Raw genomic sequence first — 26,321 nt, forward strand, 5'->3', positions numbered from 1 at the left:
TATAAATGATTGCATTGCCAAGAAACTTCAAGATCCATTCTGAAAATCTGCTTATAGCAAGTACCCTCCCCATTTGTTCATATAATTCTCTTCAGGAAGGGACAAATTGCATAATATATTGTAGTTGGAGTTTATTACTCTTTAAGTTTTGGCAAATGTATTAAGCAAATGTTCACTAATACCTTTTAACCAATACTGGATGGCTTATCATTGTTTGGATTGGAATTGAACTTAGATTTTTCTTTTGTTTTTTTTTCTAGATACATATATTGGAAATTTGTAGTCAATTTTTTTTACTGTTTTTACATTTTGCATGTAAATATCCCAAACATCCAGGAAACAGTATTTTTCTTCATGAAATAAGTATCTGGACTCTGAATTTCATTTTAGCTTATTGTCTATTTCCAATCAATACATTCTAGAGAGTCTATTCACAGGAAAACCTGATATATATATCGCATTTCCTGACTTCACTATGCACAGACCATATTTCTTCTTGACATGTTACTATTTGTTAATTACTTACTATTATTCTTACACATCACTCTTTCGTAATTTCTAATCTTTCTCTCTTATAGGACCCAGTGGCTGTCTTGATGTCTCACAGCAGGAAGAGACTCTCTCAAATAGGTGTACACATGGGGAGAGAGAGAGCAAGGAGACTGAGATACAATCAGCCACCAGCAAGTTGTCTTGATTTTCTGAATGGAGCGTGGTAGCATGTTATAGAGTCCAAGGAATTTGCCAAATCCGTGTGAGAAGATTTGCCTCTCACATGTGAGAGAATTTTTTGAGAAAAAAAAGATCCTGACCCCGTCCCTCTGCCACCACCCGAGTGAGGAAGACTGACAGAGCACATTGGCTTGCTGTGGAGACAAGATCAGGGAAAGCGCCCCTGAAAAGAAAGCATTTTGGAAGTCCTGAAGGTGGAGAAGGTAATCAGTCATGTGAAGAGACAAGAGGAAGGGTATAAGCTAGTTAGAAATTAAGGATAGGATGAGGAAAGAAGGGAAGCAAGATCCAGACCACATAAGCGCCTTAGAGGTCATAGAAAGGAGTTCAGATTTTAAACAAAATGTGTAAAAATGAAATTTGGCAAGAGTGGAGTCACCGAGAAAGGACAGAGCCAGGCACTCGTGAATTAATATTGAAGTTCAGGGTAATAGAAGGGTGTGAGATGTTTTTTTGGAGGATTTGTTGGATAAATTAGATATGTGGAGTTACAGAAAGGGATGAGAAAAGACTCACTTTTTGATTATCGTTCCTAATCTCTATCCCTCCCTACAGGAGATTTAGAGGAAGAGTGATAAATCAGAAGTCTTCGTCCAAGAATTAGCTTTGCACCATCTACAGACCTAAGCAGCTGCAGGTATGATTTGTTGATAGAGTTGACACTATCAGATGAATACAGACCCATGACCTTTAAATACAATTTCATCATTTATTTAAAAACTACTTTCTTGAATGATTGAACTTACTTATAGTAAAAAAGTAAAAAGAAAACTATCATCAAAAGGATATTGGTCACTGGGTTGGCTTCTCATTGGTAAGTGTGAGGTTTTGAGAGTGTTATTTGGTGACAACATCAGCACAGGCAGTTGTGTCTCAGATCTGGAGAGTAAAGTAACTCATGTTGCTTATGATTTACACCACGTCCACAGTGCACCAGCAGAGGTTACCATGCACACTCCCAAAGTCACTGAGGGGACTAATACAAATACTTATTCCTTCTCCTTCAGATCCTGGCTGCCTACAGTTATTTTTTCCTTGCTTCAATCATATACAGTGCACCCACTCAGAGCAATTAATTATCTTTGGCTCTTTTAAAATTACTCTCCAATCAAGTAAATATAAAAAGACAGAGTGTTACAAAAAATAAATCCTATCTGGTCCTCTCATTAGCTAGCAATTGCATAAACAGAATATGATTTGCTCTTTGGACATGAATTTAGCAGATATGGAGTCATGCTGTCTCTAAGCTATTCTGATAAAAGTCTTGTTCTTTTTCTGGATTTTATGATGTCATATAATAATCTTTTAATTTATTGTTTCCTCAGCAAATGGTACCACAGCCATTGTGCAGCCCAGATGCATGATTCTACTTAAATTTTTTAAAAGTGTCCGCCTCCAAGGTTATGTGACCTTGTAGATACATTTGATTCTCAGGAACATTGCAAAATTCCATAAAAATAATTTAATTAAGGTTTAAAGTATTACAGTATTCTGAAGATAGTGATAGGTAATAGAGAGAGGAATAAAACTTTACTTATACTAGAACAAATAGCTAGAAATATAGGTGTTTTTCGTCATGAATTTAGTGTTGGCTTTCACTCTACTGACAACATTTTCCTCCCAAGACTGATAAAAATATAAAGCATTCTCTACACCTGAGAAATGACGACAAAAAGGGAGACGGTCAGAATGAACTGGATATTACTAGTATTAGTAGTAATACTACCATTAATGTTTAGCAATTAATAATTTATAATACTGTTTTTACCCTTATATTAATGAAACTTATGTTAAGTAACTTGACCTAGCTCACATAGCTTGGGAATCTGCAATCAGGATTAGAACAGAATTTTAAACTCTATACTTTTCTCAATATGGCATCTGATTTCCAAAGTTAGCTACGATAGTCAATAAACAATTAGAAAAGTTGTCTCCATCATCTTTTGGCATCAGTTTTTTTTTGTTTTTCCTGTGGTCACTGTTACCCCCACTATTGCCTAAGATTGAAAAGCAGTTAGGAATAAAGCTTGTTCCCAACTTTGAATTGTCCAGTTGACAAAGCTGAGACCTGAGTTGAGTGTAGAAAAGAACTAACCCTGTTGCTGCTATCATCATACTTTCAACTGTAGAATTGGGATCAGATCCGATGTACTTATAGTAGGATCATGAACAGCATGTTAGAGCTGGAGTTGTGCACAGAAGCCAACAAATCTGATCCCATCAAAGTAGGCATGGCTGTAATTTGCTTTGCAAATAACAAATAATAGGATAAAACAATTCATCAGTAAAAGGGGAATCGATGAGAATGCATAATTAAGGAGCAGATTTCAATCTAGTTGGATTCAAAGGCTCAAATGGTGTCATCAGAATTCGGCCTCTTTCTCTCTCTCTCATCTGTTTTTGTTAGTTCTCTGGCAGCTCCAGGTTTACATCTTCACAGCATCAAATTAAACATTTACTCTAGAAAGTAAAATTACTAGCTTTGATTTGAAGTACTTGGGTTAAATACTGAACCTACAACTAATTACTGATTTACACATCCATCGGCGATCTTGCCCCCACCCAAACCACGTGGGAAGAGAGTGGAATGAGAAGTGGGTTCCTAATGAGCACAGAGGACTCATTTCTTTCAAGAAGGACAGCCGGATGTATTCAGAAGAAGCCCTGGAGTCTACATATGGCCAAGGAGAAGTTGAGAGGGAGCAGGAACCAGTATCCAAATTAGAACTGTAATATTCCCACTAGTTTTCTCTCCTCGACACCTCACAGCTTCTATGGAGAATATTACAAGGTTGGAGGTCCCCACATCGTCACCTAGATGGCCTTTTCCAATTTTCCTTGGGATACAGAAAATGAAGGAAATTGATGTTCTGCAGGACAGGCTATGTGGTAAAGCAGGGGTATCTAAACTTTCGGCTTCCCTGGGCCACATTGGAAGAAGAAGAATTGTCTTGGGCCACACATAAAATACACTAACACTAACGATAGCTGATGAGCTAAAAAAATTTTTTGTAATATTTTAAGAAAGTTAATGAATTTGTGTTGGGCTGCCTTCAAAGCCACACTGGGCTGCATGTAGCCCTTGGGCTGCAGGTTGGACAAGTTTGTGGTAAAGAAATATGGATAAAGTATGAATTGTGCAAAGTTGTAAATACGCTTGAACTAGATTTAACTCACAAAGGAACTTTTTTCAGTCTACCCTTCTGATAACACTGACCTTCCTCTAATAGAAAGGTTACAGCTTTCAGTTAGATGACACATTTTTTTTCCAGAGGGTTAGGGATAAACATAACTTTTTTTCAAACCTATCTCAGCTTTTTACTATCTATCTTGAACCAATAAAATAATCAAGATTGTGGCAAGGACGATGCAATCCCTCTTTCCTTATCACATTCAGCATTGTGTCTCCTATGTCTGTCTCTTTTCTCCCTGCAGTTTCTGAGTCTCCGTGCTTCAGTTTCATGTGTCTGTCTTCTGAGGAGGTCATCTGCCAAGCTACATCATGGCAGACCTAATGATAGGCTTTATTACTCTTTTCTGGCAGCTGCCTGTGCTTTCTTTCCTTTGTGGGGCAAGGAGGAGGTTCATTCTCACCCTGTGTTCTCTGCTTATCAATTCTACGTAAGAGAAGATGGCAGGAGAAAAGCAGGCAGTGTAGTGTATGTCATTCTATTAACAGGGGAGGCAGGAGTAAAAACAAAAGTAAATCTTCCCTCAATTCTTAATGTTCCCGAATCCACAGTGGATTGTTTTAGCACTGTGGAGATCCCTACTAGGTGCCCTTGTTCCAAATTCTAACCATGAAAGATCAGTTATAAGCCAGCTTTACTAGCCAGTTTTATTCCAATGATTTTGCTTACAAAATGGTTCCAGGTTTCTAGTACATAAGTTATATCTGATTAGAAGTGAACTGTCTGCAATGAAATATAGATATTTCCTATTTGGTTTGGGAAAATCTAAATAAATCAGGTAGCTATGACCTACTTTCTCAGAGGATCCAAACCATCAGCCCTGGGGCCACTATGAAAGCTTGACCATTTCACATATAGTCAACGGAGTCAGATATTGGCATCATTCATTTGAATCCTTGTTTAAAAGTATTATTATACATTTACAGTGATCAAAATAATATAATGGTTTGTTGTATCTTCCAAAAATGGCCAGAGGAATATTATCCACCTTTTTCCTAAGTGTTGGCACTTCCCCATCAAGACATGAAGTCTCTATCGCCCTCTCTTAAAACTAAACTTTGGCACTTCTCGATCAAGACATGAAATCTCTATCCTTTTCTCTTGAAACTAGATGGGCTTTTGTCAATGTCTCAATGAATAGGTGAAGCAGAAGTAGCTTTTTTGACACTAGGTATGATGTTTGACACTAGGACATAAAGGGTAATACAGCTTTCTCCTGAACTTCTTCTTGGGACACTTGCCATTAGAGCCCAGACATCATTTGGTGAATAAGCTTGGACAAAAAGTCTGGGACAGTAAATAATTGGACCAGGTTTAGCTGATTTTTAAAACCAACGAAAAGATGTTAATATCATGAATTAGAACTGATATTCTGGGGAAAATATTAAACTCCCCTATTAAGGATAAATTTTCCTTCCTCCCTTGATCCCTCCTTCCCTCCTTTTTTTCATTCCTTCCTTCCTTCCCTTCTTTCTTTCCTTCCTTCCTTCCTTCCTTCCTCCCTCCCCCTTCCTTCCTTCTTCCCTCCCTTCCTCCCTTCCTTCCCTCCTTCCTTCCTTCCCTCCCTCATTCCCTCCTTCCTTCCCTCTCTATTTCCTTCACTACTTCCTCCTTCCTTCCTCATCTGCCAAGCTGAACACTTTTTTTGCTAGAAATACAGGAAATAAACTGCTTCACCAAAGTCCCACTTTCTCCTAGGTGTGTGTAGGACAACTTGGCATAGGACCAAAGTGGCCTGAAAGAGTTAAAGAATCATCCCCAAGATGTATTTCACAATAGATACATTTTATCATATCTTAAAGCATCATAAATATGTTATTTAGTTGGTGAAAATATGCATATTTTCTCCTCTGCTTATTTCTTGATAGAGTTCATGGCTATCCTGTCTTCCTCTGACCCTTTTTAAACTTCAGTAAATGTCTATGTGCATTACTGTGAAATCTCCAAAAGACTGTTTGTAACATTTTCTCAAAATAGCATTTTCTGTAAGGATCATCCATTTATCCATCCATCCATGAATTAGTACACTTAACCCATATGTGTCAAGTGTCCATTAGGTACAGGGTACTGGCGATCCAAAGTTAGGAGTTAGAAGACTTGCCCTTACAAATATCAGAGTCTCATGCGAGAGATAGAAAAGCAAACATATAAATTAATTGATTAATTAATTCAACAAACATTTATCAAGCTCCTACTGTATTTCCAGGATTATGACAGACTCCGGAGTTCACAGCAATAAGAAAGGTAGATACAGCCTTTGTCTTATAGATAAGGGATTAGGATAGAAAACCAAATACAAAATCCAATAAAGAGTTTAGAGAAGATCTTCTAAGAAACGGTGTCAATCCTTTGGCTTCCCTGGGCCACACTGAAAGAAGAAGAATTGTCTTGGGCCACACATAAAATACACTAACACTAATGATAGTTGATGAGCTAAAAAAAAAAAAAATTGCAAAAAAATCTCATAATGTTCTAAGAAAGTTTATGAATTTTTGTTGGGCTGCTTTAAAACTGTCCTGGGCCACATGTGGCCTGCAGGCCATGGGTTGGACAAGCTTGTCCTAAAGGAAGTGAAGTATTAGCTGAAACCTGTGGACAAATTGGAGTGAGCCAGGTGAAGGCAGATTTAGGAAGAGAGTACAAGTTAAGAAGGGAAGCAGGTGTGAAGATCTAGAGGCGAGGAAGAGAATGGTATGTGCATTTGAAAAACCAAAAGAAGTTCAGTAAGGGAAGGATGATGCCTGGATGGAGATGATGGCGAGAAATAAGCCTGGAAAAGTGGGCCGTCTCAAAGGTAAAGGGAAACCATTGAAAAGATGAAGCACCCTGGGAATAATGAGATAATTCTATGTAGACTCTTACGACTGCAAGATGATGAATAAATCTTCATGGAGCAGGCTTAGAATCAGGAGCCCTGTGAGATGGCTGTAGAGACAATCTTGGACAAAGGTCATGATGGTTAGTATGAGGATGGTGACAGTGATGAATAAAAGTGTACATGTTTAAAATCTGGAGTTATAATATGTAGGGCATTTTTATTTGATGGGTTAGATGTCAAGGATGGAAACATGAAGAGTCAGAATAAATTCCGGGTTTCTAGACTAGGCAACAGGGAAGGTTGTCATGCCACTGAAGGCGAACCCTTCCTTAGGAAGGAGATTGGGACCAGGTGCAGTGGCTCACGCCTATAATCCCAGTACTTTGGGAGGCCAAAGCGGGCAGATCACAAGGTCAGGAGATCGAGACCGTCCTGGCCAACATGGTGAAACCCCATCTCTACTAAAAATACAAAAATTAGCTGGATGTGGTGGTGAGTACCTGTAATCCCAGCTACTTGGGAGGCCGAGGCAGGAGAATTGCTTGAACTGGGGAGTTGGAGGTTGCAGTGAGCTGAGATCACACCACTGCACTCCAGCCTGGTGACAGAGTGAGACTCCATCTCAAAAAATAAATAAATAAATAAATAAAGGAAGGAAGGAAGGAGATTGGATCTGGAAATAAGATAATGGGTACAGTTTGGGTTATACTGAATCTGAGTTTTCTGTAAGATATCCCAGTAGAAATGTCAAGTTATAGTCAATAGAGACAAGTTGGAAGTTCAATATATATATATCTGGAACTCAGCAAGAAAAAAATGGACTAAAGCTAAATATCTAGGAACTATCAACATGTAGAAGATGATAATAGAAGCCCTGAGAGTAGTAAATATATAAGGTCAGAGAAAAAGGCCTGGTGCAGAATGAGAAAGAAAACTAAGTTTTAGGGGCGATGTTGGATATCTAGATAGACTCACTGGGGAAAAGAAACCAGGAGAATGTGGAACCTAAGAAACCAAACACATTGCAAATATTTATATATTTAGAAAAAATATACCTAAGTTTTAGGAGTATCATCTGGCAGACGTTGAGAACTTTGGACTAACCTAAGGTAGTGGCATTGGTGACGAAGAAGAGAAAACATGCACTTGGGAGATAAAGTGGGCCGGGCTTGGAAATGAATGGTTTCTAAGGATAAGGGAGGAGTAAGGTAGTAATTCCCTGTTTGTTCCAGGCATCAAGGGCAATTGTAGAGGCTTCCCCACCAGTCAAGTCTTACGAGGGTTTATTCACACTGAGTGTTTAAAGAACACACAGGCAGGATGTCTATATATCTTTGTGTGTCTTAAAAAGAGTCTGTTTTTAACACAGTGAGTTCTCACTGTGTGACCTTTGCAATGTACAAAGAACTACACAGTGAGATACTTGCAGGTGCTTTCTAGAAAGGGATTGACAACTCTGCAGGTCTGCAGATGACACATTTCCTGACTATTCTTAAGTTGGCTTTGGGGGTTACATCCGTAAGAATACACCTGTTCTGCTTTCTCCTGACAACCAAAGACAAAACGATTATTCGAGATTCCTCCACAAAATGCATCCTTGAGATTTAATTTTTTAGTTGGCTATGAACTAACTTGATCCAAAACGGAGGGGAGTATTCTGAAATTCTTACAACCTTCAGCCTGGTTATTACTTAGGGCAGGCACGAGATGTCTTCCTTCCTTCTTTCTTTCCTTCTTCCCTTCTCCCCCACTCCCCCCGCTCCTCACCCCCTTATCTCTTCTCTACCTCTGGACAATCGACAATCATAGCTTAATGTTCTAATATCAAAGGCTTAAGAAAATAAGACAAACCAGAGGAGAATACAAGCTCTACATGCATAGAGAGATAATAGAAGGCTCCTGGCCTGCAGAGCCAAAGAGCAGGACACTGCCTGCGGCAAGGTCTCCTTGTGTGCAGGTAGGAGACTTATTAATCTGTTGCTACCCAAGCACCTAAAGCTTTTAGCACCCTTGGATAGAACTGATGCAGCTTTAAAGACAGCATCACTTAAACATTCTCTTTGGTCAGTTAAGCCGGAAAATGGGTTAGCAACTAAGCACATAAAATGTTCTAACCTGTTTGTGTATAAAAGTCAACATTATATTCATCTGGATTTTAAGAAGCTGAGAAATTGCTTTATCACTAGACACTCAGAAAGCTGAGCAAATGATTACTTCCACAAATGACAGGTAGTCTATGTTCACTCACTTTAGTATTATTTCACTTCTGGACTGACTGTAAATCTTTTGTCCTCTGGATCAGTGTCTATTTTTTCATCAGAACAAATCACACTAACATTTTAATGAAAATGAGCAAAAAACATTGTACACATTTTCTTTTCATTATCCATAATCCATTTTATATATTTACTGCAAATAGCCTTACAGTAAACATGTCATAATTTTAATGAGTCACATGTGTTGCTAATTAAAAGGCTTTATTAGGCTGGATTTCTTTTTTTTTTTTTTTTTTTTTTTTTTTGAGACGGAGTCTCACTCCGTCTCCCAGGCTGGAGTGCAGTGGCGCGATCTCGGCTCACTGCAACCTCCGCCTCCCAGGTTCAAGCAATTCTCCTGCCTCAGCCTCCCGTGTAGCTGGGACTACAGGTGCCGGCCACTACGCAAGGCTAATTTTTGTATTTTTAGTAGAGACGGGGTTTCGCCATATTGGTCAGGCTGGTCTCGAACTCCCGACTTCAGGTGATCCGCCCGCCTCAGCCTCCCAAAATGCTGGAATTACAGGCATGAGCCACCGCGCCCGGCTTAGGCTGGATTTCATATACTGCCTAGTAGCCCTACAATTTATCAGGCTTTCTTTCCTCTACTGCCTTAGTGAGTCTATAGCCTCTTTGAACTCATCATCCTTTCCAACCTCCATGCTTTTCTCAATGCACTAGGGCTAGGTTTTCATAAAATTCTGCCATCTATGAAGGTTATATTGCCCAAGAACTGAACCAAGTGAATATTATCTTGAAACCTAGCACTGTATTATGTTTAGTGAGCGCAATAGAACTCTCTTGCAGAAAGCCTACAAAATTGAAAGCTGAAAACTGTGACTGTTGGAAATAAAAAGCACAAAGATAAAAAAGAAAATAGAAAACAAAACAAAACAAAACAAAACTTGAGCCTCTTTCCTGAAACCCCCAGTGGTAAAAAAAAAAAAAAAAAAAAAAAAAGGAAGAAGAAAAATGGGATGTGAAGCGCCTATGATCCATTTTTTTTCAAATCTAAAATACATGTCAAGTAAACATTTTACAAAATCAGTTATTCTTCTCAGATGACACCAATACACTGGAACAAAATACTTTGTTAGGTTTGGATCTGATCCCCTGGGGTGTACAGACTGCCTTCTGTCCTTAAATGAGATGTCTGCCTTCCATTACTGCTATATTGAAATAACTAGTGAAAAGAACATGAATGCCTGAAGTGCAGAAGTCGCTTCATTTATTCATGCATTCATTCACTCATGTATCTAACATATTTCTTTTGAATGTCATATTTCTTTTGATGCATCCACAGTCTGCAGCAGACTGTAGATGCAGGAGTAGACAAAACAGTGTTTTTGACTTAATGGTGCTTACTTTGTAGTAGGAGCCAAGAGACAATAATTAAATAAGCACATAAAGTATTTTAAGAGAGTGAGAAATACATTAATTGAATATTTAAGGAGAGTGATAGTGCGACAAAGGAAAAACCTTGATTCCCTTCTCTCAAATCCCATATTCCATCTATTAGCAAAACCTGTTAGCCCTGCCTTCAAAATATATTCAGAACCTGACTCATTCTAAACTGTGATCATAAACATCCTGGTCTAAGTCAGCATCCTCTTTCTCCAGTGTTGACACAGCAGCCTCCTAACTGTTTTCTTGGCTTCAATCCTCATCTTCCCTATGATCTATTTTCGTGCAACCACAGTAATACTTCTAACACTGAATCAGATCATGCTACTCAGTCCAATGCCTTCTGATCTCAGAGTAAACGCCAAAGTCCCAGCAATGTCTTCAAGGCCCTTCACTGGCTGCCATCCCTCCACCTCTGCGACCTGTCATAGCCCACGCTGCTCTAAAATTCTGGCATCCTTGTAATTATTTAAGCACAGCAGCCATGCTCCTGCCTTAGGCTCTGTGGTGGGCAGAATTCCAAAATTGTCCCCCAAGGTTCCTGGCCCCTGATGTACACACACCAACTGTCAGCTATTTAATCGAACATGAATTTAGATACAGCTGTGAAGGGATTTTTTGTGTGTAACTAAAGTCTCAAATTTGTTAACTTTTAAAACAGGGAGATTATCCTGGGGGAGAGGAGAGAAGGGAACTTACCTGATTGCATGAGACTTTAAATCTGGGTTTAGTGGTCAGGAGCAGAGAAAGTCAGACTCAAAGCACAAGGGGATTTGATGTTTAAGGATTTCTCTGTTGCTAGCTTAAAGATAAAGGGGGCCGCATGGCAGTGAACGCAAGTGACTGTTAGTAGGTGAGAGCAGCCCCCGACTGACAGCCATCAAGGAAATGGCTCTGATCACCACAAGGAACTGAATTCTGTCATCAACCTGAGTGGGATTGGAAGACGATCCTGAGCCCGAGATGATGTAGCAGCCCAGCCAACACCTTGATTTCAGCCATGTGAGACCCTGGGCAGGGAACCCCGTGGCACTGTGCCTAGACTTCTAATCTGTAAGGAACCATGAAATGCTACATGTGTGTTGTTTTAAGCCGCTATGTTTGGAGTAATTTGTTATGCAGAACTACAAAACTAATAGAAGCTCTTTGCATTTGCCATTCCTCTTTCCTAGAATGTTTTCCTCAGTTATTCTTCAGAGACCTCTCTGGCTTTCTCCCTCACTTCCTGCAGGTTTCTGATTAATTACCATCTTGTTATGAGGCCTTTCATAACACAAAGTGGACTGACACTCATATATTGGGTAATTTGAGGATTTGAATAAAGTGACTGTAAAAGTGTAGTTGTTACCAAGCCATCAGTGGTCTTGCTGCCCAATGCGCATAGCGGCCAATATCATGGTAGTAGCTTTTGAGAAAAGAAAAGCTTTATTGTGAATTGACTGGCAAGGAGACAGTCAAACACCCTAATCTGTCTTTCCAGTCTGAGGTCTGGGGCTGGTTTTACAGGCAGAGGGTAACAAGGTATAATCTGATTGGAATCTTCCCATGGGGTGACACCAGGGCTCAATCTAATTGGATCATGGATTATGCCATGTGGTGTCCTCTTAATTTGGTCCCCGTTCCTTGGTCTGAGCACTTAGGTTCCATGTGGTTGCACACTTGGTTCATGCTCAGTTGTGTAACTTGCAACCTAGGGTCCGTGTCAACTGAAAAACAACTCACAACTTTTATCACACTAAGTTGAACCAGGTTGAGCTGGTTTTATGGTTACATAGGCAGGTTATAGAGAAAACAGAGTAGTACCCTGGCGTTAATGGGAGGGGATCAAGGGGAAAAAAGGTGATGGGAATTTGGGACATGGCTGTGTAGCGAGAACTATCCAGCAGGAGCTGGGACCTTCCGTACAGACGTACAGCCGGGGGGAGAAAGCCATGAAAGTATCACTCCTCGACGGCTCTCCTCCATGCCTATTGTCCAACACTCTCGCTGGAAAATAAGTGTTATGAGGGCAAATATTTGACCACGTGTGTTCCCTGTTTTATCCCCGGGGCCTAGAACAGTGCTTGAATATAGTGTTCAACCTTCTTCAAGTGAATGCATGAGAAGGTAGAGAGATATTATCATAGACTGGGTAACAGAGATTTCTCTAACACTTGAGCTAAGATATAACTGATGAGAAGGAGGTGGCCAAGAGCAGAAAAAGGATATGAAATTCTGGATGGAGGAAATAGAAAACACCCAGGCCCTAAGGAGGAAATGAGTTTCTATGTTTCAGGAACAGTGTAGACACGCAGCTGCATTGAGGTTGAGTGTTGGAAATAATGCTTGATGTGAAAGAGGTAGGCAGAGACTAACTCATAGAGTGTCTGGTAGGACATGGTAAGTGATAGGGTTTGGATTTGTGTCCCTGCCAAAACTGGTGGTGAATTATAATCCCCCGTGTTGAAGGTGGGGACTGGTAGGAGGTGACTGAACCATGGGGGTGGATCCCTCATACTTTGGTGCTGTCCTCATGGTAGTGAGTTCTTTGCAAGATCTGGTTGTGGTAAAGTGTGACACTCCCTCCCCCAACCTCTTCCTTCTGCTTTCACCATATAATGTGCCTTCTATCCCTTCACAGTCTAGCATGATTAAAAGTCCCCTGATGCCTCCCCAGAAGCCAAACAGACTCTGATGCCATGCCTGTACAGCCTGTGGAACTCTCAGCCAACTAAACTTCTTTTCTTTATAAATTACCTTCTACATAGCAACACGAGAATAGACTAGTATAGCAAGGAATTTGCATTTAATTTTAAATACCAGAAAAAGATGTTGTGGGGTTTTAGGCTGAGAAGAGAAGAGACACTGTGTATTTTACATTGTTAATGTCCAGAGAAAAAATCCAAATATAAGGTAATAACTGAATAGCTGTGTTTGTGAGTCAAATCTTTGCCTCTCGGTTCTAATACATCTGTTTCTAGGTATAGAATCTTAATGAACTCTCCCAGTTTTTATTTCCCCATTGCCTTTGGTGTTTTTCTATCCTCCATACCTGACAGGAGACTTTATGTGGGATGCACTCTGCAGCTCTTTGATTAGAATCTTCCAATTTTAATTCTCAAAAATCCCTCAAGTGTTGTCTTGGGTACTGTACAAAGATGGCAGAGTTGTATTCTATTTTATCTTCAGGGTCTAGAAGAATATCTGGGCATAGTAAGTGCTCAGTACTTAATACCTTTTAGAAAATTTTATTAGCCCTTGTTTGTCTAACTCAGTAAGAATAAAATACCCATGATCGGGCAGTTTGTGATCAAATCCCAGCATAGGATCTTCCTAGCAATACAACATTGAACATGCCTTCAGTTTCTCTCCGTTTTAGTTTGTAATCTGCAAAATGGCATGGATAATATTATTTTGGCAGTAATTAATACATTAAATGAGGTAATATCTACAAAATCCTAGCACATCGTTAATGATTAATAAATGAGGCATTATTCTTCACTATTATTAGATATTGCAGGTGGAACGCAGTGAGTTGAAGGAAATAAGATTTTGTACTTCTTCTCTCACCTACTCAGTCCTATCCCCAGAAAAGGGAGCTAGCATTGGCTATATATATACATATATAAAGGGGAGTTTATTAAGTATTAACTTACATCATCACAAGGTCCCACAACAGGCTGTCTGCAAGCTGAGGAGCAAGGAGAGCCAGTCCAAGTCCCAAAACTGAAGAACTTGGAGTTCGATGTTCGAGGGCAGGAAGCATCCAGCGGGGGAAAAAGATGTAGGCTGGAAGGCTAGGCCAGTCTCACCTTTTCACATTTTCCTGCCTGCTTTCTATTCGTTGGCAGCTGATTAGATTGTGCCCACCAGATTAAGGGTGGGTCTGCCTTCCCCAGCCCACTGACTCAAATGTTAATCCCTTTTGGCAACACCCTCACAGATACACCCAGGATCAATACTTTGTATCCTTCAATCCAATCAAGTTGACAGTACTAACCTACTAACCATCACAGTGGGAAAATGCTTCTTCTTTTTTTTTGATCTACGGAGTCTCGGTCTGTCACCCAGGCTGGAGTGCAGTGGCACAATCTCTGCTCACTGCAAGCTCCGCCTCCCGGGTTCATGCCATTCTCCTGCCTCAGCCTCCTGAGTAGGTGGGACTACAGACACCTGCCACCACGCCCGGCTAATTTCTTGTATTTTTAGTAGAGACGGGGTTTCACCATGTTAGCCAGGATGGTCTCGATCTCCTGACCTCGTGATCTGCCCGCCTCTGCCTCCCGAAGTGCTGGGATTACAGGCGTGAGCCACCACGCCCGGCCGAAAATGCTTCTTATGTCTAGGAGTGGTGAGCACCAGTGCCCATTCCCACAGTGCTACTTCAGAGGAGCTGCACAGGCCTGGGGAGCCTGGGGGCCTAAAGTGTGAGAGGTGTGGCTTTGATAACTTTATTGAAATGGCCCTGGGAGCAATAGTAAGCATAAAGGACTAGTCTGTCTGCAGTGCTCTGTACTGAACAATTTGCATAGTGATATTGACCATGATTGAACAGGCTCTCCACCTATTTTCCAAACACCACATAGTGTCCCTGGAAGCTTATACAACCTAAAAAGATCACCTAAAACTGATACCTTACAACATGAGTCAAATTGGTTTCTTATCACCCTGGTTAGAGAACTCTCCAAGTAAGATTGAATTTAATGTAGAAAAATAATGTGGTGGAGTAAAATTAAATGCTAAACTATTTCAACAGTGATGATGTAGATGGTAATTAGTAAATATTCAAAGGAGCGAATCTGCATTCCCCATTTTTCTGTGCACCATTTCCAACTTTAAGCCAAATAATTCGTATTGTAGTCCGATGACATTCGTTGTCTCAGAATGAAAGATTTCTGAAGAAAAGAAGAGCTAATGGAAGGGTATGGAGGCTTTTTCCCCCTCCCGCCAACTCTTTTTATCATAGGATCATCGAGACAGAAGGGATCTCAGAAGGCGTTTTAATCCCCTACTACTTGTCTCTGAGAATGGCTGAGAGCATTATTTCTTCCTGCCACTTTCCTCTGGGATTATTCGGCTTACTGAAATCTGCTATTTACTTTATAGGTTTATACAATAAAAAGTATTTAGATGAGCTGAAGTGCCGCTCCTTAAAAATGTATGTAATTCCAGTTGGCTTTTTAAATGGCTATCTTTGAAATGCAGAAATGCATAATAAAATCAGCAATGTTTCAGTGAGTGGAAATATTGAATGTTCCTTTGTTACACTGGGTATCTCTGAACAACTGGAATGCATTCGCAATGCTTGCTGGTCTCCTGAGAGACATGCATCAAAAGAGTGCTCTTGTTGGTGGGCTGGTTTGATGACATAGAGGCATTCTTATGTTTGAAGCATCTCAGTAGTTTTATAAATTTAAAAAAAAATATGATTTCTCTTTTAGTGATGAAGCACTCATTGTATTCTGATGAATTCTGATTCTTTGATTCAATGAGTTCTGATCTAGTTTACAAAGTTTTTAAGACTAGATTACTGAAGACAAACTTCTCAGCTCCTGGATTATGTAGGACAAGGATTACTGCTTCTGCAGATTCAGCAAGTTGCTGTTCTGAGGAAGTACGCACAGTGGAAAAACCATAGGCAGTGGGGTTGAATTGCCCGGGCTTAGAACACAGCTCCACTGCGTTCTATCTGTGTAAACTTGTATTCTTCTGAAAGCTCACGCAGAGACAGGGACTTGGGTGTGGGTACTTAACCTGGGAAGTGATTCCAAGAAGGTACTTAACCTGAGAAGTGATTCCAAGATGAAGAAAAAGGAAAAAAGCCAATGACTGGTTAGTGCTGTGGACAACCAGGACTCAATCCAACCAGGCGTCTCTGAGATTCCCTATAAAATGTGCTTTGGAATAGCCACATGGAGGGATGGGGAAGCTGGGCTGGGTATTCACCCATACCTGTTTCTCAAGAACTGAGGGTTCTTCCTGGGGTGTTAAATTCCAGGTACTGCCCAACTGTCCTGCCCAGGAGCTGCAAAAGCTCTCAGAAAACTCCCAGACAGAGAATCAGAGAAAGGCTGACACTTATTGAGGAGGTGGGGCAGGGGGACTCTCAGTGCAAATAGGGGACTTCAGAGGTGGGTTGGGGGATGTGAGAGGTGAATAAACAGTGTCTCCTACAGTCTTTGCACGCATAATCAAAGGATTTTATAAGAATGAGTCAATTTGGGAGGAAAATCATACTTAGCATAGTCTACCAACTTGTATACAACACCTATGGAGAATACAATACGATGTTTGCCAGGTAAAGCGTTCTGTCTAGCCTTCAGTACCTTCCCATTAACTTGTATGGTGAGGGAGTAAAACTCAGAAGTATGGCATCACTGTTTTCTCATACGACATGCCCTGAGATGTGTGCTTTGGGCTTCAGGGGCTCCTGAATGGTTCTAGAAGATTCTGAATGTATTTTTAGCAGGTGACTGGTATTGTAAAGCAGCAGCTTGGCATCTTCCTGTTTTTACTCTGCATAGATCAGAGTTGTCCTGCTCCGTGACTGTGATCTCTATGTGTTGCATCGATGGGATGCTGTTTTGAAGTCTCCGAGGTAGGGAGACGCTCTTAGGATCAAGGAGAATTGAAAATAATCTCTCCTTCTATGAGGCTTTGGAAAGTTGTGTATGACACCATTAGCCATGCTCCATGCAGCCTTGGTTAAGAAGCATCTTGGGGCTGCTACCAAGTATTTCATGCCCAATATAATCTAGGCTGTATCTGTAGGTAAGTAAAGTATTATTAACCCCATTTTCCAAATGAGGCAACTGAGGTCCAAAACACTGACCCATGCGTCAGAATCACCTACTGGGCTCATTAAAACAAATGACTGGGCCCCACCCTAAGAGTTTCTGAGTGCTGATTCTTGATCTAGAGTGGCACCTGAGAATTTGCATCTCTAACAAGTTCTTAGGTAATGTGCAGCTGGTCTAGGGACCACACTTTGAGAGCTGCTGAAATATTTTATATATATGTGTGTGTATGTGTGTGTGTAGTGTATCTCAGTTAATGTTTGTCTTTGCAGCTGGATGATCTAAGCACTAGAGACCATGTCTGTCTTATTCACTGGTCATTCTGTAGCTCAGGTACTGGCCCATAGTGCCAAGGTATTTGTTGAAAGAGAGGATGTGTGAATAAAATTCCGGGTGAAGCTTAACTATTGCCTGTGAACAGACGATGTGTTCCTGCCTGGAATGTCTATTTCTAAGGTGCATTTTTTGAGCTCTTCTTTTCCAGACTCTAGTCTTCTCCTCACCATTGATACCTATTTTTAAAATCCTACTGAGTCAATTCCTATTCCAGGTGGCTGTTGACTTGCTGGTCTCCGATTAGACATATTTTCTAAGCAAGCTGAGCTCAGGGGTCCCTTATGCTTTCTCATGACTGACTTGCTTTACTTCAGCTCCACTATCTGTAGTCCATGGTCGATATGTTATCTCTTGTCTCTATTTAACCTCTGGCTCTTAAGGAGCATAAAAGATTGATTTAGAAAACCACAGCCAGTCTGGGTCTCATCATTAGAAACTTCTCTGAATGAAGCAGGAAAGAAGCCAGTAGTTTTCTAGTCCCCTTGAGGGGATGGTATTATTAAAACAAAAACAATCTTTGCCTTTTATTTCTTTCTTCATAATTGTCAGTGCCCTTAAGTTGACTTCTAACACAAATGCTGTGTTGAAGAAAAATCTAAATGATAGTAAGATACTTCTCCTTAGAGTATTTTATGAGGAAGCCATGGTTTTCCTGAAATCTTGGCTTCAGAAGATGTACATGGAATCATCCATGGGGATTTAGAATGCAGATTCCTGGGTTCCAACCCAGTTGTATTGAATTGGAAGCAAACTCTCTGTGGAGAAGGCCCAGGAATCAGCACCCCTGGGGACTGCTGTGACCAATATGTGAGAACAACTGCAATAGACCATGGGCTGGCAGACCTTTTCTGTAAAAGGCCAGATAGTAAATATTTTCAGCTTTGCTGGTAAATATTTTCAGCTTTGCTGGGCACATGGTCTCTCCTATGAGTACTCAACTCTGCCACTGCAGCACAAAAACAAACATAGCAGTATGTAAATGTGTACTAGCCCATTTACATGCTGCTGATAAATACATACCCGAGGACTGGGCAATTTACAAAACAAAGAGCTTTATTGGAATCACAGTTCTATGTAGCTGGGGAGGCCTCACAATCATGGTGGAAGGTAAAAGGCACATCTCACAAGACCACAGTCAAGAGAATAGAGCTTGTTCAGGGAAACTCCCATATTTAAAACCGTCAGACCTCATGAAACCCATTCATTATCCGAACAGCACAGGAAAGATCCACTCCATGATTCAATCATCTCCCACCAGGTCCCTCCCACAACGCATGGGAATTATGGGAGATACAAGATGAGATTTGGGTGGGGACACAGAGCCAAACCATATCATTCTGGCCCTGGTCCCTCTCAAATCTCATATCTTCATGTTCAAAAACCAATCATGCCTTGTCAACAGTCCCCCAAAGTCTTAATTCATTTCGTCATTAACTCAAAAGTCCACAGTCCAAAGCCTCATCTGAAACAGGGCAAGTTCCTTCTGCCTATGAGCCTGTAAAATCAAAAGCATGTTAGTTACTTTCTAGATACGATGGGGTACAGGCATTGGTAAATACAGCTATTCCAAATGGGAGAAATTGGCCAAAACAAAGTTTCTAAAGGCTCCATGCAAGTCCAAAATCTAGCTAGGCAGTCAAATCTTAAAGCCCCAAAATGATCTTCTTTGACTCCATGTCTCACATCCAGGTCATGCTGATGCAAGAGGTGGGTTCTCATGGACTTGGGCAGCTCTGCCCCTGTGGTTTTGCAGGGTATATCCCCCCTCCTGGCTGCTTTCACAGGCTGGTGTTGAGTGTCTGTGGCCTTTCCAGGCACACAGTGCAAGCTGTAGGTGGATCTACCATTCTGGGATCAGGAAGACGTTGACCCTCTTCTCACAGTTCCACTAGGCGGTGCACCAGTAGGGATTCTGTGTCGGGGCTCTGACCCCACATTTCCCTTCCACACTGCCTTAGCAGGAGTTCTCTGTGAGAGCCCCACCCCTACAGCAAACCTCTGCTGGACATCCAGGCATTTCCATACATCCTCTGAAAACTAGGCATATGTTCCCAAACCTCAGTCCTTTACTTCTGTGCACACGCAGGCTCAACACCATGTGGAAGCCGCCAAGGCTTGGGGCTTGCACCCTCTGAAGCCACATCCTGAGCTGTACCTTGGCCCCTTTTAGTCGTGGCTGGAGCAGCTGGTAAGCAGGACACCAAGTCCCTAGACTTCACACAGCAGGGGGACTCTGAGCCAGCCCACAGAACCATTTTTTCTTCCTGTGCTTCTGTGCCTGTGATGGGAGGGGCTGTTGTGAAGACCTCTGACATGCGCTGGAGACATTTTCTCCATTGTCTTGGGGATTAACATTCAGCTCCTCATTACTTCTGCAAATTTCTGCAGCTGGTTTGAATTTTCTATCACATTTTCAGGTGGCAAACTTTCTATACTTTTATGCTCTGTTTCTCTTTTAAAACTGAATGCCTTTAACAGCACCCAAGTCACCTCTTGAATGCTTTGACATTTTTTTCCCCCAGATACCCTAAATCATCTCTCTCAAGTTCACATTTCCACAGATCTCGGTCAGGGGCAAAATGCCACCAGTCTCTTTGCTAAAACATAACAAGAGTCATCTTTGCTCTAGTTCCCAACAAGTTCCTCATCTCCATCTGAGACCACCTCAGCCTGGATTTCATTGTCTATATTATTATCAGTATTTTGGTCAAAGCCACTCAACAAGTCTCTAGGGAGTTCCAAACTTTCCCACATATTCCTGTCTTCTTCTGAGCCCTCCAAGCCTGTTACCTAGTTCCAAAATCACTTCCACATTTTCAGGTATCTTTTCATTAATGCCCCACTCTACTGGTGCCAATTTACTGTATTAGTTCATTTTCAGGTTGCTGATAAAGACATACCTGAGACTGGGCAATTTACAAAAGAAAGAAGTCTATTGGGGTTCACAGTTCTGTGTGGGTGGGGAGGCCTCACAATCATAGCAGAAGGTGAAAGGCATGTCTCACATGGCCACAGACAAGAGAATAGAGCTTGTGCAGGGAAACTCCTGTTTTTAAAACCATCAGATCTCATAAGACACATTCACTATCAGAAGAACAGCATGGGAAGACCTGCCCCTATGATTCAATCATCTCCCACCAGGTCCCTCCCATAACATGTAGGAATTATGTAGAGATTCGGGTGGGGACACAGAGCCAAACCATACCAAAATAAATCAGTGTAGCTGTGTTCTAATAAAAATTTTATTTATGGACACTGACATTTGAATTTCATATAATGTTCCTGTGTCATGAGACACAGTAAAAAATCCTTTAATTATTTTTTAACCACTTAAAAATATGAAAACCCTTCTTAATACACAGGACTTACTTTGGCCCACAGGCCGTAGTCTGTTACCCACTCTCCTGGACTGTCTAGATGGTTGTAAGGAGAGAGTAGTATGCAGAGTTGCAAGTACTCTGCTGATGTTGATGTTCAATATTTGAGCAGAGTGTCTCAGACTTTATATGCTCTATTTTCCTTCTTGGAATTCTGGAAAGCCTGTGAGGTGACAAAATGTTAGAGAGAAATGGAGAAAATAAGCAATTTGGCAGTCTCTCAGACAAGGTTTGGAAATCAAACTGTTAATGCAGTCTTCAAGGCCTCATAATGCTTTTGATATTTTTCATCAACATTACAGGCAGTGCTGTTTTCATAAGACTCAGTTATGGGTTTGGAATTCGCTGTCCTAATAGGGCTTATGGTAATAACCTCAACCTTGGCTCCAGAAATGGCTTGCACCTGAAGTCTGTTTCCTGGGCCACATGATTAAGTGTTATATTGGATGTAAGAATCCAGTCAGAGCCAATGACATCGTCTTATACAGGAGATGCTAGGGAAAAGAGAGGCAGGACCTCTGTGCTGATGGATTTGAACCTCAGTGAATACATAGCTGAAACTTCTGCAGCTATCTGGGTGCTATCATTTTTGCAAGTGTCTTTGAGAACGGAGTCAACCCGACTCATTGGGGGACCAGACATCAGACAGAAAGGACCTACCAGGCATGACTGAAAGCTTCCTTGCAGTAATTCAGCTTTCTAGACTTCCCATGACAAAATCAATACATTCTCTGTTTGACTGAGATAGAACTAGTGAGATTTTCTGCCATTTGCAATCTATAGAGTCTTATTTATATAACCTTCTTCTGATTCAAACATTCTACAATTCTCTTTCTTTGGAATCAACTATGCAAATGACTGGTCCATAAAATCAGCTGCTCCCTGCAGCGCTGACTTGTTCTCAAGTGACTAGAATTTAAGAAATGTAACAGTAACAATTGCATTGAGAGAAGGGATGTCAATTTTCCTATTATATTGCCAGTTCATTATTCCTATCCAAATGGCATAAGGCTGATAAAATAGACACAACTCTCATTTCCAATAAGTGCAAAAATTGGATGCCATACAATTAAAATTTATAGAGATGTATTCCTAAGGTCTTAATTATCTCAGAGTGATATTTGGGGATGGGGAGGGGAACGGCAGTTTTTCATTTATTTAAGTCATTTTGTCCTATATTATATGCAAAATCCTGTTTTCTAAATATCTGAGCTGAATGTTATCTCCACACATCTGTAAGCTTAGAAAAGAAGCCCCATCTGTAATTACCATTTACAACTTTAAGGATGCTTTATGAGCACCGATGTCTTTGAAAACCAAGAAGACCTGTGAAAAACAAAAGGTTCAACCAAACCATTCAGCTTTGCAAGTACCATTGAATTACCCCATAAGTCCCTTAGTTTCAGGCCACATTAGTGCATTTTATTCTGCTGTAACAGAATACTACAGACTGGGTACTTTATAAACAGTAGAAATTTATTTCTCACAGTTCTGGAGGCTGGGAAGTCCAAGATCAAGGCATTGACAGGTTCACCTTGTGGTGAGTGTCCAACTACTGCTGGTAAAAAGTGCCTTGAATGCTGCATACTTTGGAGGTAAGGAACTCTGTATCATCACATGGCAGAAGGTGAAAGGGTGAAAAGAAGTAAACTTTGTCTGTCAAGCCCTTTAATGAGAGCACCTTAAACCCATTCATGAGGGAGGAGCTATCAGGGCCTAATCACCTTTTAAAGGCCACATCTCTTATGACTATCATATTATCAACATCTGAATTTTGGAGGTGGCACATTCAGACCATAGCACAGGCCCTGGAGTACCTAGGTGAGAAGATCAGTGTACACTTCTGCTGACTGTTTGGACATTGGCCATCACTGTAAAAGGGCTGACCCCTGAGTGAAGCTCCATGTCCTCCCATTCTGTTCTAGATGATCAGATTCCACTTAAATGCATTTTAAAGCTGAATAACAGCAGGTTTTCTTCTTTAATGTTAACACTCATAGCACACCAATATATAAATAAATAAGAATAACCTGTCATATGCTTTGTAATATAGGTTCTTAATTTTTATTCTCTCTGATGGTGAAGGTGTGAGCAGAAGAAATCTGTGCCGAAAGAATAGCAGAACTTAGATAAATCACAAACATCCAGTATTTTCCAATATTGGTTTCTCCTTTCCTCCATTTTCCCTTCCTGGAAGACTCTACTGGATGTCTTAGTGTACCTCAGAGGTGAGTTTCTCTGTAAAGTCTTCAGCAATCTTCTGCGCACAGAACTATCCTCTTTCCCTTCATTCTCCAATGGCATTTTATGCATGCTTTTATTATAACATTTATTATGCTTTAAGATGAGAGAGGATAAGTATCAGTTTTTACTGCCTGTATCAAAATGTGTCTTCTTGAGAACATAGTATGTTACTTACTTTTAAACCTCCTCACCTAACAGCACCTGACTCAGAGTGAGATTTGGGGTTTACTCAGTCAATATTTGTAGTATTTGTTGGTTAAATGATAGGCCACCAGAATGCTGTCTGGAGTATGTAACTACTTCTGCATGGTGATAGTAGCACACAAAATATGAAATGGAAATTAAAACATTTCAAAACCTTTCCACCTCTAACTCACTGAGGTAAACAATTTAATACCATGATGTTCCCTTTCACAATGTTTTCCATATTGTATTAGTTAACGATTGCGGTGTAGCAAATTTCTCAGGGGCTTAGCCTTCACAAAAACAATAAATATTTATTATACCGCAGTTTTAGAAGGACAGGAATCCAGGAGCAGCTTGGCTGGGTTGTTCAGGCTCAGTCTCTCATGTGGTTGCCATTAAAATGTTGACTGGGGCTGCAGGGTTTAACTAGAGCAAGAGAATCTGCTTCTTATGTCACTGTTGGCTGAGGCATTAGCTTCTCACTGGGCTGGTTCTCAGTGGGAGGCCTCAGTTCCTTTCCACGTAAAACTCTCCACACAGCTGCTTGAGAGGCCTCACAACATGACGCCTGGTTTCCCCCAGAAAAGCCAGTTCAGTAAAAAGAGCCAGGCATAAACTGCAGTCACATGCCATCACTTCTGCTGTGTGGTCTTGGTCCCGAGACCAACTCTAATACCATGCATTATACAAGGGTATGAGTATCAAGAGTCAGGGGCCACTGGGGGCCATCTTGGAGGCTGGCTACCATCCATATAGGGTTTTTGGTTTTTATAAAAAATCTAATGATGCTATATACATTTATTTGCAACATTTTTTCACATGTAAATACTTCACTACCCTTTCTCCAGGTTGGTAGATATGAATGGAACTAAGTCATTCTTTACATTGTAGCTGACGTTATAATACATTTATTTCAGACCTATTAATTCTCATTGTTTTCTATTTCAATAAAGTAATACATATTCTTGCATATTTATTTTCATTTTATAGAGGCTACCAAAAGTAAACATACTTGATCAAAAATATCAAAAATAGCATTTTGTTTTTTCTATTTCCATAGACATTACTACATTTCAAAAGAGTGACAATATTTATTTTGCACCAACTATGCACAAAAGTACTTGTTTTCCCATATCCTCTTCAGCACTGGATAATTTTTTATATACATTTTGTCATTTTGATGTGCAAGAGAAATCTCTCATTTTTCATTTAATATGCTTATTTCACTATTAGTGAGCTTGAGCACTTAATGTATGTATTGACTTTATGCCTTATCTTTTCTGAATATTGTCTACTTGTAACCTTTCCTTCTCTTTTTCTCATCAATTTCTATGGAGCGTTTGGTATTTGCACACAGCAAGAAATATAATTTTAATTATTTTTGCTCTGAAAAATTTATAGTATAGTCTCCTTAAAAGAATATTAGCATCTATTTCATCACCTTTTTGAGTTGATATACCTAAAAGTCTACCAGGTTTCATAGGGATCAAACATATACAGAAATATTTTATGTCTTATTTCTAGGGAACTTAAGATTGGATGAGAACGTGGCTATTGACATTACTAAGCTGATTCACCTACCCCAGAAAGTGGCAAATTAAGCAGTCTGTTGACTTTAAGATTACCTTGGAGATAGATCACAGAATTTAAAATGCAGTCACTCAGAAAGCAAAATTGCTTGGGAATAAAAGGCAATAATTACTATCACTCTTTCTGCAACTAGTGAAATATAAAAAGAAAAAAAACCACCTCCCACTCTAAACCTTGAAGCCTCAGCAAATATTCAGAGACTCTTCAGATTGCATATTGTGATCAAAGCAGCAATCCTTAGAGTAAGCAGAAACTGCAAACTTCCCTCTCTCTGTGTGTTTTAAATCCCAAACTACTTTGATTGCTTTTCTGTCTAAACACAATAAACACCCTTGACCTTGAATTATACTGTTAGGAGATAAACATCTGGTATCTGGAAGAGAGCACTAAAAATGAATTCTTTGCTCTCTGGCATCTTAATGAACAATGACCAGTAACAAATCAATAAAGATAGTATGACAAGCTGTGATTAAGCGAGTTTTAGATAAAATCTCCAAATAATCAATGTTTAATATATTGGCTATCTAAAAGTACATCTCTGGGATTACTGCTGCACTGTTTAGGAGTTAGTTTGGGTAAATTACCAGTGGGGAATTGGGAAAAGAGAACACAACAAATTGTTTTATATTCCTGGCAATATTATAAAGAATATTCTTATATTTTAATTTCTTACCATGTTATTTGGGAGAATTTTCTGGTAAGAATCACAGTGGTTTTAATTACTTGGCAAATAGATTCTTTATTTCCACAGACTAGTCCCTGATACTATCACTGAAGATCAGTGAAGTCCCATTGACAACCCCTTTTTCCCACTGTCACCACTCTGTCCTCATAGTACAGTATAAAAGTCTGGATTATTGTTCATAGATATTTGTTGTCCTTTCAGAATCCCAACAGAAGACAGCTGGTGTGTCTATGTTAAGATAAACTTAGGTGTTGTTATTTACAAAGATATGATTTACAAAGGCAAGGTGGAATGTAGCCAGTCTGGAATTATTATAGTACAGGTTGAGCATCCCTAACCTGAAAATCTAAAATCTGAAATGCTCCAAAGTTCAAAACACAATGCCGCAAGTGTAAAATTTCACATCTGACCTCATATGATGGGCTATGGTCAAAACACTGTCCTAACTTTCTTTACATGCACAAAATTATTTAAAACATTATATAAAATTATCATCAGTCTATGTGCATGAAGTGTATATGAAACATAACTGAATTTCACATTTAGATTTGGATCCTACCCTCAAGATATCTCATTGTATATATGCAAATATTCCAAAATCCAAAAAGATGTGAAATCTGGAACACTAATGGTCCCAGGCATTTCAGATAATGGATACTCACCCTGTGTTTAAGACTCAGATTGATTTAAATGGGAAAGATTGTTTTGAAGTATCAGATATACTTTA

At 40.1% G+C, this 26,321-nt stretch overlaps 1 long non-coding RNA gene across 2 annotated transcripts; it reads left to right on the forward strand.

Annotated features, from left to right (window-relative positions):
* Positions 1–385: 385 nt before the first annotated feature.
* On the forward strand, positions 386–26,321 carry LOC102723596 (uncharacterized). Of its 2 annotated transcripts, XR_001740591.3 has the most exons (3): positions 386–935; positions 1,288–1,369; positions 22,379–26,321. It is a non-coding gene; the product is annotated as an uncharacterized LOC102723596 (long non-coding RNA). The 2 variants fall into 2 exon arrangements; XR_002959612.1 differs by lacking the exon at positions 22,379–26,321 and having other exon boundaries at positions 1,288–1,455.

The sequence above is a fragment of the Homo sapiens genome, chromosome 3, assembly GCF_000001405.40.
Source record: "Homo sapiens chromosome 3, GRCh38.p14 Primary Assembly".
Lineage (NCBI taxonomy): Eukaryota > Metazoa > Chordata > Mammalia > Primates > Hominidae > Homo > Homo sapiens.